General features: G+C 34.4%; 1 protein-coding gene across 7 annotated transcripts in view; it reads left to right on the forward strand.

The window, feature by feature from the left end:
- GRIA2 (glutamate ionotropic receptor AMPA type subunit 2) overlaps positions 1-16,541 on the forward strand; it is a 145,956-nt gene that overhangs the window by 78,399 nt on the left and 51,016 nt on the right. For all 7 annotated transcript variants that reach the window (XR_007096394.1, NM_001379000.3, XM_047450131.1 and 4 more), the window contains exons 3-4: positions 5,034-5,273; positions 14,161-14,357. Coding sequence is in view for 6 of the 7 variants with exons in the window: in NM_001379000.3 (NP_001365929.3) it covers positions 5,034-5,273; positions 14,161-14,357 (437 nt within the window). In the remaining variant the exon portion in view is untranslated. The remainder of the gene's footprint in view (positions 1-5,033; positions 5,274-14,160; positions 14,358-16,541) is intronic.

A 16,541-nucleotide genomic window follows, 5' to 3' on the forward strand; every position in this document is an offset into this window, starting at 1 on the left:
TTATTTTTATGGAATTAGTTGGAAATATATGGTTTTAGAAGTTTCCATATAATGAACTGAGGGACACTGGAAGGTGACAGATTGAAGCTAAGCTTTTTTTTTTTTTTTTTTTTTTTTTTTGAGAGAGAACTATTCTCTAGATTTGAACGTTATATTTTATCAAAAATGACTCAGTGTGGAACACCAAAACATAGTAGATAAAATTCCGTTTTTTTCCTGAATCAGCTCACAATACTCATCCTCTTTGTTGTGCATTTTCTAAACCTAACACTATGCTTGTCACATAGAATATTTACAGTGCATTTTTTGGTAAATAAATAGTTTTAGGAGATAACTGGGATAATAGTGAAGGCTTGGGAAATATGTGCATAAAAATTGAATTTGACCTTGTGGAAAGGGGTGAGACCACTAAGAGGCAGAGTGAAAGAAGATAAGAGAAAACAATTGGAAGACAAATCCTTGGAGAAGGTCTTTTTAATTTAGGATGTAGGAAGAAGATAAGGCAGTGAAAGATAATTAGAGCGACAGGAAAAGTACCAAGATGGTATAATTTTACTTGGCAGCTATGTGGAAAAGAATTAGAAGAGAGCAAGACTAGTAGCAGCGGAAAGGGAAAGAATTTTAAGAGGCAAATTTTGGTCTAATAAATTCAGAGAAGCTAAGAAAGCTAGATCCAAAGAAGAGATGATTATTTTTAGTTACCAGGAGATCCTTACTAACAGATGATAGGGAAATTTCAGTACTGAAATCAGGGGCAAACTATGCATGGGGTTAATGTCACAAGTTTAGGAGAGAAGGAGAGAGGCTTTCAGTGGTTTCCATATTTTGATGTCAGAATTCCTTGGTGATGCAGCTTTTACCAGTTTTTGTTCAAACTGCAAAGAGGTTGTTGCCATTTCTGCTTATGAAGCAGACTATGCTGATTCATTGAAGTGAATCTCAACTTATAAATCTAAAATATGTAAAACAAAAAAAACATACTCAGTTCTTCTCCCTTTCTACTCAATAACTATGCGAGGCTATTTAGATTTTGTTCAGCATACAGACTGTATCATGTATGCTACATTAGCAGCACCAATGAGCAGAGTGACCTAAGAGAAAAAGATGTGTTGGATGCACCATCAGCATTGTTGTTGGCTTATATCATCTGGGCTTGTAATAAAAAGTGAAATAATCAGCAAATTACTTATACCCAGGAGATTATCATTTCTGCTGTTTGACATAAAGTGTCTTTTAGAAGGACTTGCCCTTTGCTGAGTTTCTCAAAGTTGATATTAAATATTTAATTACAGAACTCAGTGAGAGCATCTTTACTTACTCCTTTGCAATCTGGTTTGAATCTCAAAACATAAATGCAATTCTAATATTAATCAGGACTATCATTGAGAAACTTATAATAGTGTCTCACAGTGTTATTGTGAAGGTCATGAAGCTGGAGGTGAAAATGAGGATTCATGTTTCTTTCTTTGCCTCCAGATGTGACTATATAGGGTGTTGGTATTGTATAACTCATTTTAGAAAGTTGTCTTTGGATTGATTTTCAGAGTTTATGACACGTTATTTCTGATAGTCTCGGTGGTAGTAAACCTTCCTTCATTACAGGATGGATCAAAGTTAAGGAAATGGCTTTAAATTTTGGAGGCATCATTGGGGAATAAGGTAAAGATGAAAATGAATAATTTCCCTTCTAATGAAGTAAAGAGTAATTCCAAAGTACTGCAGCTAATATTCTTGTGAAAGGTGTCAGTAGGTTATGCTGCCTATGCTAAATTGGGGCAAGCATCAATATTTAAATACGAACAGTCTTGGATATTTGGGGATAACATGTTAGAAGCATAGTGCTAAGTTTTTCATCTTCAGATGGTTACCACAAACGGGGCAAGCAAAGTACCTTAGTTTAGGTAAGCATTCTGATGGATTTGATTGATTCCTGGCTGTAAATCTCAGTGGCATTCTTATCCTGCTTGGGGACAGAGACAGTGACTGTCCTAAGGTACAGAGAGGGAAATGAGCACTGTTGGCCGAATGGCTGTTAACTGTATGCATAGTCAGGGGACATAAGAAAGAAATATCCAGAAAAATAGAGGATATATGCAAATGGACACTTGAGTAAGTGCAATGAAGAAATAAAGGATAAGAAGAGAGGGTTGAGGGAGACCAAAGAGAGTCAGGAGAGAAGAGCTATTGTTGTAAAAATAGGTTCACTGGAGAATTAGCTGAAGTGCATGGGGAAAAATAAATTGTCTTCTGAGTTAGGTGGATCATTCCTTATGAAGTTGTGTGCAGCTTGTGCCTGTTGTTGGGTCAAAGCCAGTGTTTCCAGATGGCCGCAATAACCAGGAGGTCCCTTGACAACTCACTCCAGGGCCTAAAACAAATCGAAAATGAAAGGTATGGCTCCTTATTAAGCTTGTCTGTGTATTCAAACAGTGGCATTCTTTATCAGGCATCCTGCTGATGCTGTGGCTGCTGTTTTCATCACAGAAGCTATTTCACTTAAGATGAGAAGAGGTCTCATTAATAAATCATATTGCATGATATTCCTATAGTACCTAGATGACATGCCCACACTTTGCAGGGAAATGGAATTAAATAGACCCAGAGAGAATTTTATAGCAAGTCTTTCTTTTATGTGTCATTTGGAATCATCAATTGCTGAACAAATTTAAGATTTAAGATATACCTGTCAGTACACATACACTTATGTATAAAATAAGAAATCACTGCAGAGTTTTCCTAGGTGAGATGAAAGCTATTTTTCATGTATGTGAAGAAAGGACATAGTTATCAAATACACTAAAGGTTATTTTCAACTCTGTACCCAGACAAGAACAAAAAGTATGGGCATGAATAAAAGACAGTTATTTCATCTTTGCCTTATGTTAAGGTGTGAAATAAATGTAATGAAATGCATTCAGTTGCTTTTTGAGATATTTCAGTCTGCTTTGTAGAAGATTGGTAATAAAGGATGTGTAAATTTACATATTACACAGGTTTTCGGCAAATAAGGGCCACTTAAAGAGGCAATCTTGCTTTCCTTTGGATTCATACCGTACAACAGTTACTAAACAGTATTGCCTAATATTTTTTGATTGTCTAGAATTGGCAATTAGAATCTGTACATATTTTAGCAATGCTCGTATTCATGAAACAAATCTATTTTTTCTACAGACCATCTATTTTTGTGAAGTAAATACAATGATATAAGATAGGGTTTGTTTTATCCTTCAAAAAGGATTATTTTAAAAGGATGGTAGATGTTATGTTCTAGGTTGTTAGATTGTGTTTCTGGATGACTGGTTTCCAGTTTTTGGATTGAAATGACCCCGAGATTGAGAAATATCAGCTATTTATCTATTTAAAGCCACATATTTGGCCAGGCATGGTGGCTCATGCCTGTAATCCTAGCACTTTGGGAGGCCGAGGCTGGTGGATCACGAGGTCAGGAGTTTGGGACCAGCCTGACCAACAAGGTGAAACCCCGTCTCTACTAAAAATATGAAAGTTATCTGGGCATGGTGGCACATGCCTGTAATCCCAGCTACTCGAGAGGCTGAGGCAGGAGAATCGCTTGAACCCGGGAGGCGGAGGTTGCAGTGAGGTGAGATCGCACCACTGCACTGCACTCCAGCCTGAGTGACGAGCAGGACTGTGTCTCAAAAAAAAAAAAAAAAAAAGACACATATTTGACTTTACTAGTAGCTTTAAGCACTGTTCTGCGGATCGTCAGTGCTCTGTAGAGCATTACAGGGGATCAGTCTTGGACAAAGTAACCCTTTTTCTCGAAAAGATATTACTGGATTTATGTTTCAAAATATTATTCTTATTATATTGTGGAGAATTGAATGGAAGGAATGTAAGTGGAGGAAGGAGGACAGTTGGGTAGATATTTCACTAGTTGGGTAAGATAAGCCATATTACTTTTTAATTAAGAGCATGGATTCTGAATCCAGACTTTCTATTTTGAATGTAGCATCTATCTCCTATGCAAGTGTCTTTGGTAGTTCACTTAATATTATTCTATGTGTCAATCTTTCTATCAGTAAGTTGGAAATAATTATAGTTCCTACCTCAAAAGTTATCATGAGAAAAAAATGAATTAATGTACCCTAGAACATGCCAGGCACAGGGCAAGCACAATGTTAAGTATATACTGTCAGTGAACTAGGATGTTTGGAATGGGGAGAAAAATAAGTGGCCCTTATTTGAGTATATCGAGGTATTATAATGAGCACATAACTTAGTTATGGACTGACTTTTGGGGGAAGGAGTGAAAGCAGATAGTGTCATATGCCATTCACTGGAAATAGAAATATTGGAAGAGGATGGGGGATTGTGGGAGTGATGAGGATGTGCAAATACAATACTATATTATTATTTGTTTAAGAATTAATATGTAGTGTAACATATAGGGTAAGTTAGGTCCATGGGGAAGATTAAAATGCAAAGTTTTGGACTTTATTTAATTGCTTCTCGACTGAGTGACACAATATGACAGAAGTAGCTTTGTGGGGACATGCGTCTGTATTTATCGGGGAGTCTGGTATCTATCTTGTCTTAAAGAGGTTTTGGTCAGCATTTGGAGTCTATGGAAGCACATTAACTTTTAGATGTAAAAGCATCATAAATACAGTAAAGATTTTTAAAGGAATTGGATTATGTAGGGAATGAGCTGTCATTAATGTGTATAAATCTTAGGAGACTACAGTTTGTTCTTATAGCTAATTTTTTTTACCCATACATTTTTCATATTTGTTCCTAAAATATGTTAATACTTACATAGCTTGTTAAACAATGATGTTTGCATTTTCTTGTAACCAGAACTACTTTTTATGCTTTAGAATCTTTTAGATCCCACAAATAGAATGCTAAGTAAATAAGTGTTAATAAATTACAATGGATCATTAAATCTATATTTCTTTCAATATGTTAATTTTGTATTTTATGTAAAAGGACATTACGTTTTAAGCAAATTCATATGATTGTGTGCCAATTTCAATGATTTTTCCTTTCTATTTTTCCTATTCTTCTAGTCTGCTCCCAGTTTTCGAGAGGAGTCTATGCTATTTTTGGATTTTATGACAAGAAGTCTGTAAATACCATCACATCATTTTGCGGAACACTCCACGTCTCCTTCATCACTCCCAGCTTCCCAACAGATGGCACACATCCATTTGTCATTCAGATGAGACCCGACCTCAAAGGAGCTCTCCTTAGCTTGATTGAATACTATCAATGGGACAAGTTTGCATACCTCTATGACAGTGACAGAGGTAAGTGACAGTATCTCATCTCTTTGTAATGGGGCGAATTCAATGCCTACACTTGACACTTCTATGGATGTTATAAAGCTACAAAGGTGTGATAAAGCCCAAGGATCCCTTGGTTTAATTTTGCTGTGATAATGACTAATGCAATTTAAAACCTGGGAAACATATTTAGAGTAAAACAACAACAACAACTACAAAAGCTGTCTGTGTACAACTTAGAGAGATAGACTGTATCAACCCAATGACCAAATATTCAGTTGTAATATAAAAAGCAATTTTTTGCATCAGCAGCTAAAAGTCTATGACAGCTATACTACTAGTCCAAGGTGAATGAAGTGGCTTGAGTACATTTAAGTGAAACAGACAGTAACATACAGTTATTAAATATTGTTATATGCAAAAGTTTTATCAGGCAGGTAGCATTATTATTGCCCTTGCCTTAAAACAAGATTCCCGAATCTCAGAGAAGTTAAAGGTTTTTCTCAGGATCAACCCACGTATGGTACAGCTTACACACAGGTCTCTGATACCAAACCTATGCTTTTGACACCATTCCACATAATTGTTTATAATGGGATGATTTTGAATAGCATGCCAGTCTTGATTCATTATGTTAAAATGTAATGGAGGGAGGTACAACCTGTATGTTTCTCATATCCCTTGTTGTGAAGTTTAGTATTAGCAGACTTGCTTGATTTATGTCATAGAATCCCAGGTGTTTTTAACCATTCCCAGGTCCGTAATTGGGTGTCAGTGGGTTTGTGTACTCCCTAAATTGTATGAAACATCTTGTGTGTGTGTGTTCATATGGATATGTTTTTAGAGAGAGTATCCGTAAATCAAAGTCAAAGCGGTGAGGGACAACGATTGTCCTAGTACCTAAGTACCATACTGTGCTTCCCTCAGCAGCTTGCTTCCTGGAATATTTGTAGGTTCAAATGAAAACCCAGAAGCCTATTTCGACCAAGATAGGGCACCTTGTTAACCCACAAGGGCAGACAAGAAGAGAGCCAGCCGTCAGTCAATTCTCCATTGATCAGTTTGTAGTCATTTACTGCAGCAAGCTCGAGTCAGGAGTGCAGGAGCTAGGTGTCTGATTCTCTGCCCTGTCCTCCTAATCCTGGGAATGAGAACACTCAGTGGAAAAGCCAGTCAGCACTATACAAGCTGAAAAAAAATTTGCTGTGTCAACAACTATGTCCCCCTGCTTTGAGAAGGGAGTGCTTTGCTATTCCCATAGGGAATTAAAAACTAAAACCGAGAATCATTTACAGTAAATACAGATTTCAATGTGCTGGATGTTTCCGACGCACACTTATTAATGTGATAAAAGGGCTTATAAAACTGAGCTTATTAAATAATTTTTAGTTTTTCCTCTTGTTCTCTGCTAACTTCTTTAGTATTTTGTGTTGTTCAAGCTAGCCTGAAATATGGGTGTATTCTTAATACCTCTTTCATCCTTGCATCCTATTGATGTGATTTCCACTGCCTAATTATATGTCTGTAGACACTCATCCTTGTCGTTGCCATTACCCCAGGCCAAGCCACCATAATGTGTTCAGTCCCTCATCTCTCCAGTTCCACCCTTGTCTTTTTTTAATCCATTTTCTATGAAGTAGCAGGAATTACTGTTAAAAAATTTTTTTTGGACTGCATTACTCTCTTGTTTAAAATACTTCAATAGCTTCTCATTATGATGAGGATAACATTGAAAAATTTTAGTTGGCTTTAAGGTCTTATAATATCCAATTCCCACTCAACTCTCCATTGCATTCTGCTGTCTTGCTCACTCATTAAAGGTAAATCCATTTGACCTTCTTTCACTTTCTCAGATGCACCAAACTCTTTCACTTCAAATCTCTGCCTGTATCACTAATTCTTACTCCTCCTTGAGAACTGGGTTCATATATCATTTCCTCAGAGATGCCTTTCACACTGTTATCTTTCAAAGCAATCTCTTTTCCTTTATAGTACTTAGGACAATTTATAATGAATGGGTGATGTTCATTCTGTCACTTAAGAATTGCCTATTGAGCCCCTGCTATGTTCCAGGGACTGTCTTAGTGTCATAGGATAAGCATTATGTTTTTCATGTAAGGTGTGGCAATAAGCTCCAGGAAAAGAGTGCCCAGGCAGTGCTCAGTGTACTAGATATTCAGCTCATGACTCTGTACCCAGTGCTTCAGATAATGCTAGAAAGAGAGTTAATGTTCAGTAAATGGTGTTAATAAGTAAATGAGTTAAACATATGTGTACAGTATTTTAAGTTCAAGGTGATTTTATAAGCTAAATTTTGCTTGCAAAATTGAAGAATTGAATGACTAATTCTCTTTACACTTTGATAAGGTTGACTGAGGATGGCATTTTTAGTTTAAGAATACACTTCGCCTTCATCCTTACCCTCACCATTGCTCCCTCTAGTTAAAACTGAACTTTTGAGAAAAATTCAAAAAGACAACAGCTGATACAAGTTTAAAAAAAGAGAAACTCTAGTGTGTGAGGAGAGATACTCAAAAGACAGGCTCTGGAATTAGCCTGTGAAGATGGATGGACTTACGTACTTGTGAAAAAAATCTGGAACATTTTAAAATACTTTTATTAATACTTAGAAATATTAAATGAAATTGAAGTGATGAGATAATCTACAATTATTAAATTATACAAGTTGATTTGAGTTCAAGTGCATCTGTTGAGATAAAAATGTTAGAGTGATAATATTAAGTAATAATATATTAAAGCCAAAATGACCTTATGGATATATTTTCAAGGTGTTATCAAGTAGCTATTGATGTTTTAATGTGAAAAATATTTCAGTGGCCTTCTATCTGAAGTTATTTTCAGACATAAATATGTAAGACTCTCATAATACTGGCAAAAGACTTGACCTTTGTGTAATATTTTACTTGGCTCATGGAAATGGAATTTTTGCTATTTGTTTTTTTCTTATTAATGACTTAATTTTTATGGCTTTGCCATCATGCTACATTTTAACGAGTTTATTCATACATTTAGTGTGTGAACTGTTTTCCCCCATTTGGTCCGAAATCATTTTGCTTATGCTTCAAAGTAGGCACCTCCTTGCTTTAGTGTCACATGATTTGAAGAATGCACCTGTGTTCCCTTTGTCCACATTAACCACAGTCTGGAAAATAGATCCCATGGTTTCATCACTCTACTTAGATCTCTACATGCCTCAGTTTCAAACAATTTGGTCTGTTCTTGATGGGCTGTCTCTTCACCTCCTTGATTATGTGATTATTTTTAGGCTCTAATCATCCTCACTTTTTAGAGAGTCTAGGTCAGGAATATATATTGGTTAATTATAATGTCTAAATTACTGTTCTTTGGAATAGCATAGGGTCCAAATGTGAAAATGATCTCCCAACATTCTGCCCTAATCATGAACTAGATGAAAATGACTTGAAATTGTTATATGCTGCTTAGTTTCACTACCTTTAGCTAGTGAAAGCCATTCCTGCTTCCTGGCTATCTGCCACAATGCTGAGCAACAGGCCAAGAGACTATATACCACTTTTAAACAATTAGAGACATGGATGCATGGATAGAAACATCTTTGTATAGCAGCATCTTTGTATGGAACCCTCTTTGACTAATCTAAGTTTACTGGTGAGAGGAGAGCTGAAACTCTGCATCTGGTGCCAGGTGATCTTTTAGGTTGCTGGTGTCTTCTCCTTACCCAGGCCATGTGGCAACAGCCTGACACTCCTTGATGACCCTGAAAACTGCATATCATCACTCCATAAAGAGAAATTCAACACATTTTTAACAATAGAGCAATGGGGTTATCTATGTTAATGCATTCAACATTATATAATAGTTTTATTTTTGGATATATATGTTGTAAGTTTGAATCAGGACTTAATCCAAATGTGGTTTTTATTTATTGGTTTAGTGTCAACAAGGTAAGATAATACATTTCTACAGAGAGTAGGTAAAAACAGAATTAGCACTTTATATCTGTATATCTTGGTTTCAATATCGAGCAATATTATTTGTCCTCTGAAGGGAAGGCACTTTGCCTGCAGTTCCAAGAAAACATCATGCATAGAACAAAAATGCTTTCAAATTATAATTTTTTCCCTCATATTCCTGAGAGAGCTGATGAGGGAAATATATGTTAATCTAATTTGGCCTAGGCATGCTGCCATGATTTAGTGATCATAAATATTAATTTATATGCTTGAAAGAATAAGTACAGTTAATTTTAAATGGAGCAAAGAAAATATTTTTAAGCAGTAAGACATGGTTTGAATAAAATGTATATTTTGGCAGTAATCATTTTTAATTTAACCCTTTAACGTGCAAACTGACAGACTTCCCCTGTGTACCGGGTGACCTTTTAAAGGGTTTGCATACAGACAGGTGGCTGATGGCTTGTCTATAACTCAGAGTGTTATTAATACTGGGTCAAGATGAGACTATCACTGACTGACTAGTAGTAATACTTTGGGAGAATTTTAGGAAGATTGTCATTTTATGAATAGGTTATACAACTACAACCAGTCAGTAACAATAGGCACATGAAGAAGTAATGCAATTTAACATTATGTAATCTAGCCATTTTTTATTTTAGCAAAACATCTAAGAATTCAGTAGAGTTTAGAACTTACTTTTAGACTGTAGCAATATTCTTGAGGGTTTAAAAGAACATACTATATTTTAAATATATTTACCAGGAGGAATAATCTTCCAGATTTCTTCTGTTTTTAGATGATCAACTATGTATCTCAACAGTTTTGTTTTAAGTAATTCAATAAAAATAAGTGAGTCTCTGCTATAGAAATTCAAATATCCTAATGTAGTACTATGGATATTAGAGTTGAATAACTATTGCATACTAATAGCTTTAAATGAACCAGTGTTTATGCAGAACTCCCATTGTCTATACAACTTTGTATTCTGAATTACAGGATGAATATATTTATAGATACTTCTGTGCTAGTTTGTGTGGAAGGAATAGAGGCAGATCTCAAGTCATACTTTCTCCTGTAATTGAATACGGTACAAAGAGGTCAAGAGCACAAATCTGTGTTATGTTTGAAGAGTTTAATTTCACTTTCATATACATTTTCAGTGATTTTCAAATTTAAAAATGGTATATTGATTATAAAGAAATCAGACAATATAAAACTTTTAGTTGTGAGGAATGAGGTGAGGAGATCAAATTGAGAGAGAGTTTGAGAGTCAGTTACTATTACTGAAAAAAAACCACCTAGGGAAATGGGTTATTAAGCATTGAATGGTGGTCTCTTCAAATTACACGTCAGATAATGCAATCACTTGTGAATTACTTCTGCCTGTTGTTAGGAGATAATTTAATATTATTCAGTGTCTTCTGATGAAACTGAATTTATTAAGTCTGATACAGCACTACTTGAGCAGTTTAGTTTCTTAATAATATGTAAGTTTTGTTAGGTTCCATAGGTTACAAAATATTAATCTTGAGAGTTTTAATAACAGTGAATCCTGAATCCACAGCCACTGTAAATTACTTTTGACACGTAGAACAAATGAGTTTGAAAGTCAGAGAAATTTCTTGGTTTTTTTTTTTTTTTTTTTTGAAATGGAGTCCCGCTCTGTCACCCAGGCTGTAGTGCAGTGGCGTGACCTCGGCTCACTGCAATCACCACCTCCCAGCTTCAAGGAATTCTCCTGCCTCAGTCTTCCAAGTAGCTGGGATTACAGGCGCCTGCCACCAGGCCTGGCTAATTTTTATATTTTTAGTAGAGATGGGGTTTCGCCATGTTGGCCAGGCTGATCTTGAGCTCCTGATCTCAAGTGATCTGCCCACCGCACCTGGCGCAAGTTAGGCATTTCTTTAAATGCATTCTTTTTGATTTTATACATCATCTCTATATTCTTTTGCAAGGTGAACTGCCGGAAATTTTAGATTTAGGATTTCCACTTGGTGAAATCCATTTACAAAGTGTCATTTATATTTAAACTTTCTTATAATATATGTCAAAAGTTGAGACATAATATTAAGAGCATTACCACTTGAAATTGTATTATATAGTATGCTTTATAATTAAATAAACAAAATGAAATAAGCTATTTCAGAGAATAAGGATGCTTACTGGTAATTTCTATATGGTAATATATGAATAGCACAGAGACCCCCATCCATGGATATAATGTCTTTAAGAAGGTGACAAGGGGGAGTTGAACCATGACTGTGATGTAGGAAAGTAGAACCCAGCAAATGGAAAGTGGCTTAGAATTTAGATTTCTTTTTCTCTTACTTGCAGAGAAAAGTGGGTAGACTTAATGGCTGTTTTCAAGTACATTGATAGCTGTCGAATTGATCATAATGACCAGCTGTGCGTGTTCTGTCTCTGCAGATGAAAAGGGAAGGATTTAACTGACCTATAGTGTATGGAAATCATAGGCGATCTGTGATGTGTTTTAAAGATCTGTCACTGAAAGTTTCAAAAAATGACATATGGTCTTTTTACATTATCCCTTGAGAAATTTAGGTTTATTTATATCTTTTGCCAGAAGACTGGACAGAGGAAACTAATTTCATTTTGCCAGAAAAAAAGTTAACTTTTTTCAGCATGTGGTTCAATCTTCCATTCTGAAATAAAAATAAATTATTTTTAATGTTTATGTTAAAATATTTTAAATAACAAATTAGAATGCTATAAAGATTCCCAAACACTCTTAACATGGCTTTATTAAAGACTAGTATATGAGCAATTTTGCTTGATCTATATCTCTTTTTTTCCCTGCAATTATTTAGAAACAAATACCAGACATCCTGCCATCTCATCTGTAAATATTTCAGTGTTTATTTGGAAAAAATGATTTTTATATTTTAAATATAATGGTAATAGTATTATTATACCTAGACAATTAACAATTCATAAATATTATTCTTTTTTCCACTGTTTGAAGCAAAATAAAAATGAGATCCATATATCGCAATTAGTTAACATAATTTTTAAGACTCTTAGAATGTAATGCAGTTTCCCACAGTCTAGATTTTGATGATTGCAACACTATGGTGCTTAAAATATTTTCTTCTATATATGCCCTATAACTTGGTAGTTAGATTTAGAAGTGTGATGAAATTCAAGTTTACATTATTGGCATGAATGTAGCCAACACTAAATAGGTATATACCTATTCAACACCAAAATAGGTGGGTTGAATATTATCATTTGGAGACATATCTCTGTTATCTCTCTTTTTGGGTAGTTACCAGTAGTTGATGTTTGTTGTCTTGATTCATTAATTCCGTAGGTGTTACAAGATGGTGATAATTTCAAATATATATTCATCCATCATCTATTAGCTAGAGTATTTCCAAAAATAAATATCTTTAGTTCATTATTACCCTGAAAGTGGTTCATATAGGAAATGCAGGAAAATGCTTGTTTTATTTCATTATTTACCAGTCTTCAAATTAATTAATTGGTTCCCTAGCATCTACCAAAGTCAAGCACGTTTTTAAAACATAATTTCATAGATTTAAAACAGTTTATGTATTTAAGTATTTCGCATTTATTATTCTAATTAATATTCAAATGTTCCCATCTTTATTTAAAGAGCTCCTCTTCAAATTAGCTCCTGTGTGCTTTGAGGTAATGCTGATGGTTTTAGAGAGTTCCTTCCCTTCTGGTGTCATAAGATGTTTTAGACTCATCTTGTACACTTTTTGGCCAATATTGAATCCATAAAATTTTTAATGGTGGTTTTTCTTTTTTGAAATAGTTTTCAACAAAATTGATAATTGACTCTTTTTCATAGCAAAAAGATTTAAATAAAATTTGGTATCTGAATTTAGATTTTGAAGAGATATGTTCACATTAGGTGAATCCTACATTTTATTAATCAAAAGGGACTAATATTGTTAGAGAAAGATGCAGGCTTTTCTAGAATAAGGAAGATGATTTGCTGAGTTCTGGATTCATTCTGGAGTCTCGATTTTGCGTTGTTTATTAAGTTATCAGTATAAATGATGAATTTGGTTTTGCTGTGAATAGTAGAAATAATATGAAAGACAAGTTTATGTAGCATGTCTCCAAGTGCTAAACTGAGGATATAACTTTTCAGGAAATAAATCCTCTAGTTGTTGTAACTCTTAGTCCTAAATATGAGGTAATATATGGACAATTAAAAAAACAATAAAAATTTTCCAAGTGATATGATGCTATAAGCAAAGTTACTAACAGGAAAATAGACATATTTGGAAAGAGAAGTAAATCTATGCTAGAGAAATAACTGCCACCATCTGGTTAATAGGTGACCACTTCAATTTCTCTGGGATCATTCCCAATAACAAAAAAAATAACATAACAGAAGACTGTGGAAGGAAAAAAAAATGAACCCAAACTGCTGACTTGAAAACAATAGGAGAAAATATAGCAGCCTCATAAAGAATATTGCCTCTTATCCTCACATAGACTTACATAGATTCCTCATTCAAAATGTACTCGTCTTCTTCAGGATACTAATATCAAATGACAGACTATCATGTATGACTAAACAATTTTTTTCCATTCTGTAAGAGTAAGAAATGTTTGTGATGCCATTTCATTTCACTTAAACCAAAGATATTAACATTACACTTTAGTAATACTCTAAAGAAGACAGCTGAGGGTGTTGAAAGAAAAGGATATTATTTTCTACTCAAATAATGACTCCTTTGGTCAGAATAGTAATATTTAGGTAATGAGTTTTTGATGTGAAGTGACATAAGTAGAAGGTGATAAAGATCATAGCTATAGCTTTTTTTGAAGGAGTCAACATTCCTTTAGTTGCACAAATATATCTTCCTTAAAAATATATTCACTGGCAATTTCATAACACAATCCTGAGTTATTCACGTATCTTTATCAGTCATCATTTTTCTTTGCCTTCCTAGGCTTATCAACACTGCAAGCTGTGCTGGATTCTGCTGCTGAAAAGAAATGGCAAGTGACTGCTATCAATGTGGGAAACATTAACAATGACAAGAAAGATGAGATGTACCGATCACTTTTTCAAGATCTGGAGTTAAAAAAGGAACGGCGTGTAATTCTGGACTGTGAAAGGGATAAAGTAAACGACATTGTAGACCAGGTTTGCTACTTTCTGTTTTCTAATGATGCCAGATATAGAATATGCATGCAATGTCAGCATTTGCAATGTGTATTTGTGTAAGGTGCTTGAACAGCAGTTTTTGCTTTATGTTTTATGTCGGATGCAGCAAAGATCATCAATTAAATTATCTCTGGCTTCAGTTAGCAATAGCAAATGGTCATCAGTAATGCTGGCACATCATGTTAATCATTAAATAAATTCAATAAATAATTCCTGACTTTTATGTTTTATATGATAAATGTTACCCTAAACTTTGATATTTTCATTTGAAAATTTTAAATTTAAGTCTGATGAACTTTTTAGAGTTAAAGAAATAGACATGTATTAACTTAAGACAAGTTGAGTTCTAAGGGAAAAGTGAGTAATTCATGAAATTTTTGGAGTTACATAGACCATCTATGCCTCCAGAAAGAGTATGTAGTTATCTTTGCAAGATATATTTTTTTTCTTCTGTTAAGGGACTTGTGCCACTATAAAAAACATTGATTTGTGAAATTAAAATATGTAGGAAGGACACATTTGGGCTGTGTTTGCTATTTGAGAAGTAAACTAGATGCATCCCCTTGGACTGTTTGAAAGAATCACTGACACCAGTGATAAGGATATTTTTATCTGTGCTTAGATACTACCTTGCTTCAGTTTAAGGTCTTTCAGGGTAGGGGAGCCATGCAGTGTTATCTTAATAATACAGGTAAAATCCACCATGATTTACAAATAGGGTAAGTGACTAGGGATGATAGTGGCACAGCATCAACATTATGATTGATTGAATAAGGTCTCCTTTACTGATATCTGCATCTCTTCCTAGCTGAAAATGTGTGTGTGTGTGTGTGTGAGTATGAGTGTATATGTGTGTGTATACATATGCATATATGTACATATATATGTGCACATATATGTATTTATACAGTTGACCCTACCAATATCCTACCATTGACCAGAAGCCTTACAGATAACACACAGTCAATTAACACATACTTTGTATGTTATATGTATTATATACCATATTGTTATAATAAAGTAAGCTAGGGAAAAGAAAATGTTATTTAGAAAATCATAAGGAAAACATATTTACTATTCACTAAGTGGAAGTGGATCATCATAAAAGCCTTCATCATCATCATCTTCACATTGAGTAGGCTGTAAAGGAGAAGGAAGAAGAAGGGTTGGTCTTGCTGCCTCAGAGGTGGCAGAGGTGGAAGAAAATCCATGTATAAGTGGATTCACACAGTTCAAACCCATGTTGTTCAAGGGGCAATAGTATACACTGTGGCTGCTAGTGCCTTAGAATACTGTGGAAGTGCAAGGAAAATACACACTTGTGTATGCATTTCTTGGCTCTTCTAGCTTTGAGGAAAAAATTTGATTCATTAATTTGTTCAACACAAAACATTCTGTAACATAAATGTTGATTAAATCCTAATTGATATATAATAATACAGGCCCTAAGACATACAAAATAGATCTTTCATGGAATATTGAATAACTGAATAGAACTAACTTGTTATGCAAAAGAACTAAATGTTGAATGCCAGAGAGGTGAATAATTTCAGTAGAAAATCTTGATTCTAGTCTCAAGAGATGAAGTTAAGATTGTTTTTAACCTGAAGGCCTCTTGTTCAAATGTGAACCTCAAAAATGCATTTGAATTTCATAGAGGTTCTCATTAAAACTGAATTTTAATAATATTCATTAGTCTTTGGTTTAAAAAATTTAAGGATTCATGACTCATCATAATAAATGTTAGTGAAAGACTATATAAAAATATATTTTTCCAAAATGAGAAGAGAGAAACTACAAAAGCAAACGGGAATATATTGTAAGTGATGTTTTGATTACATAAACGTCCATATGGACATCTATTCAAAATGCAGAGTATTTTGCACATATATATTATAAGTCCCTTGAATGTATTAAATGAGCACATGCAATGGATGGCCTCAGCAAACATTTATTGAGGCCATGCTTTGTGCCTGAAATGAGGGATGCAAAGAAAGGTAAGAAAGAGTGATGTCTGCATCCCATGAACTCATTGCTTAGAGATAAAAATGTACACAATGTACACAGACAGCACTACAGAATTACAAGTTAAAATGCAATGTAGTCTAGGACATGGAGGAGAAAGAACCTTTCTTAAAAGGGGAAGGACAATTTGTGAAGGGT

This window comes from Homo sapiens, chromosome 4, assembly GCF_000001405.40.
Source record: "Homo sapiens chromosome 4, GRCh38.p14 Primary Assembly".
NCBI lineage: Eukaryota > Metazoa > Chordata > Mammalia > Primates > Hominidae > Homo > Homo sapiens.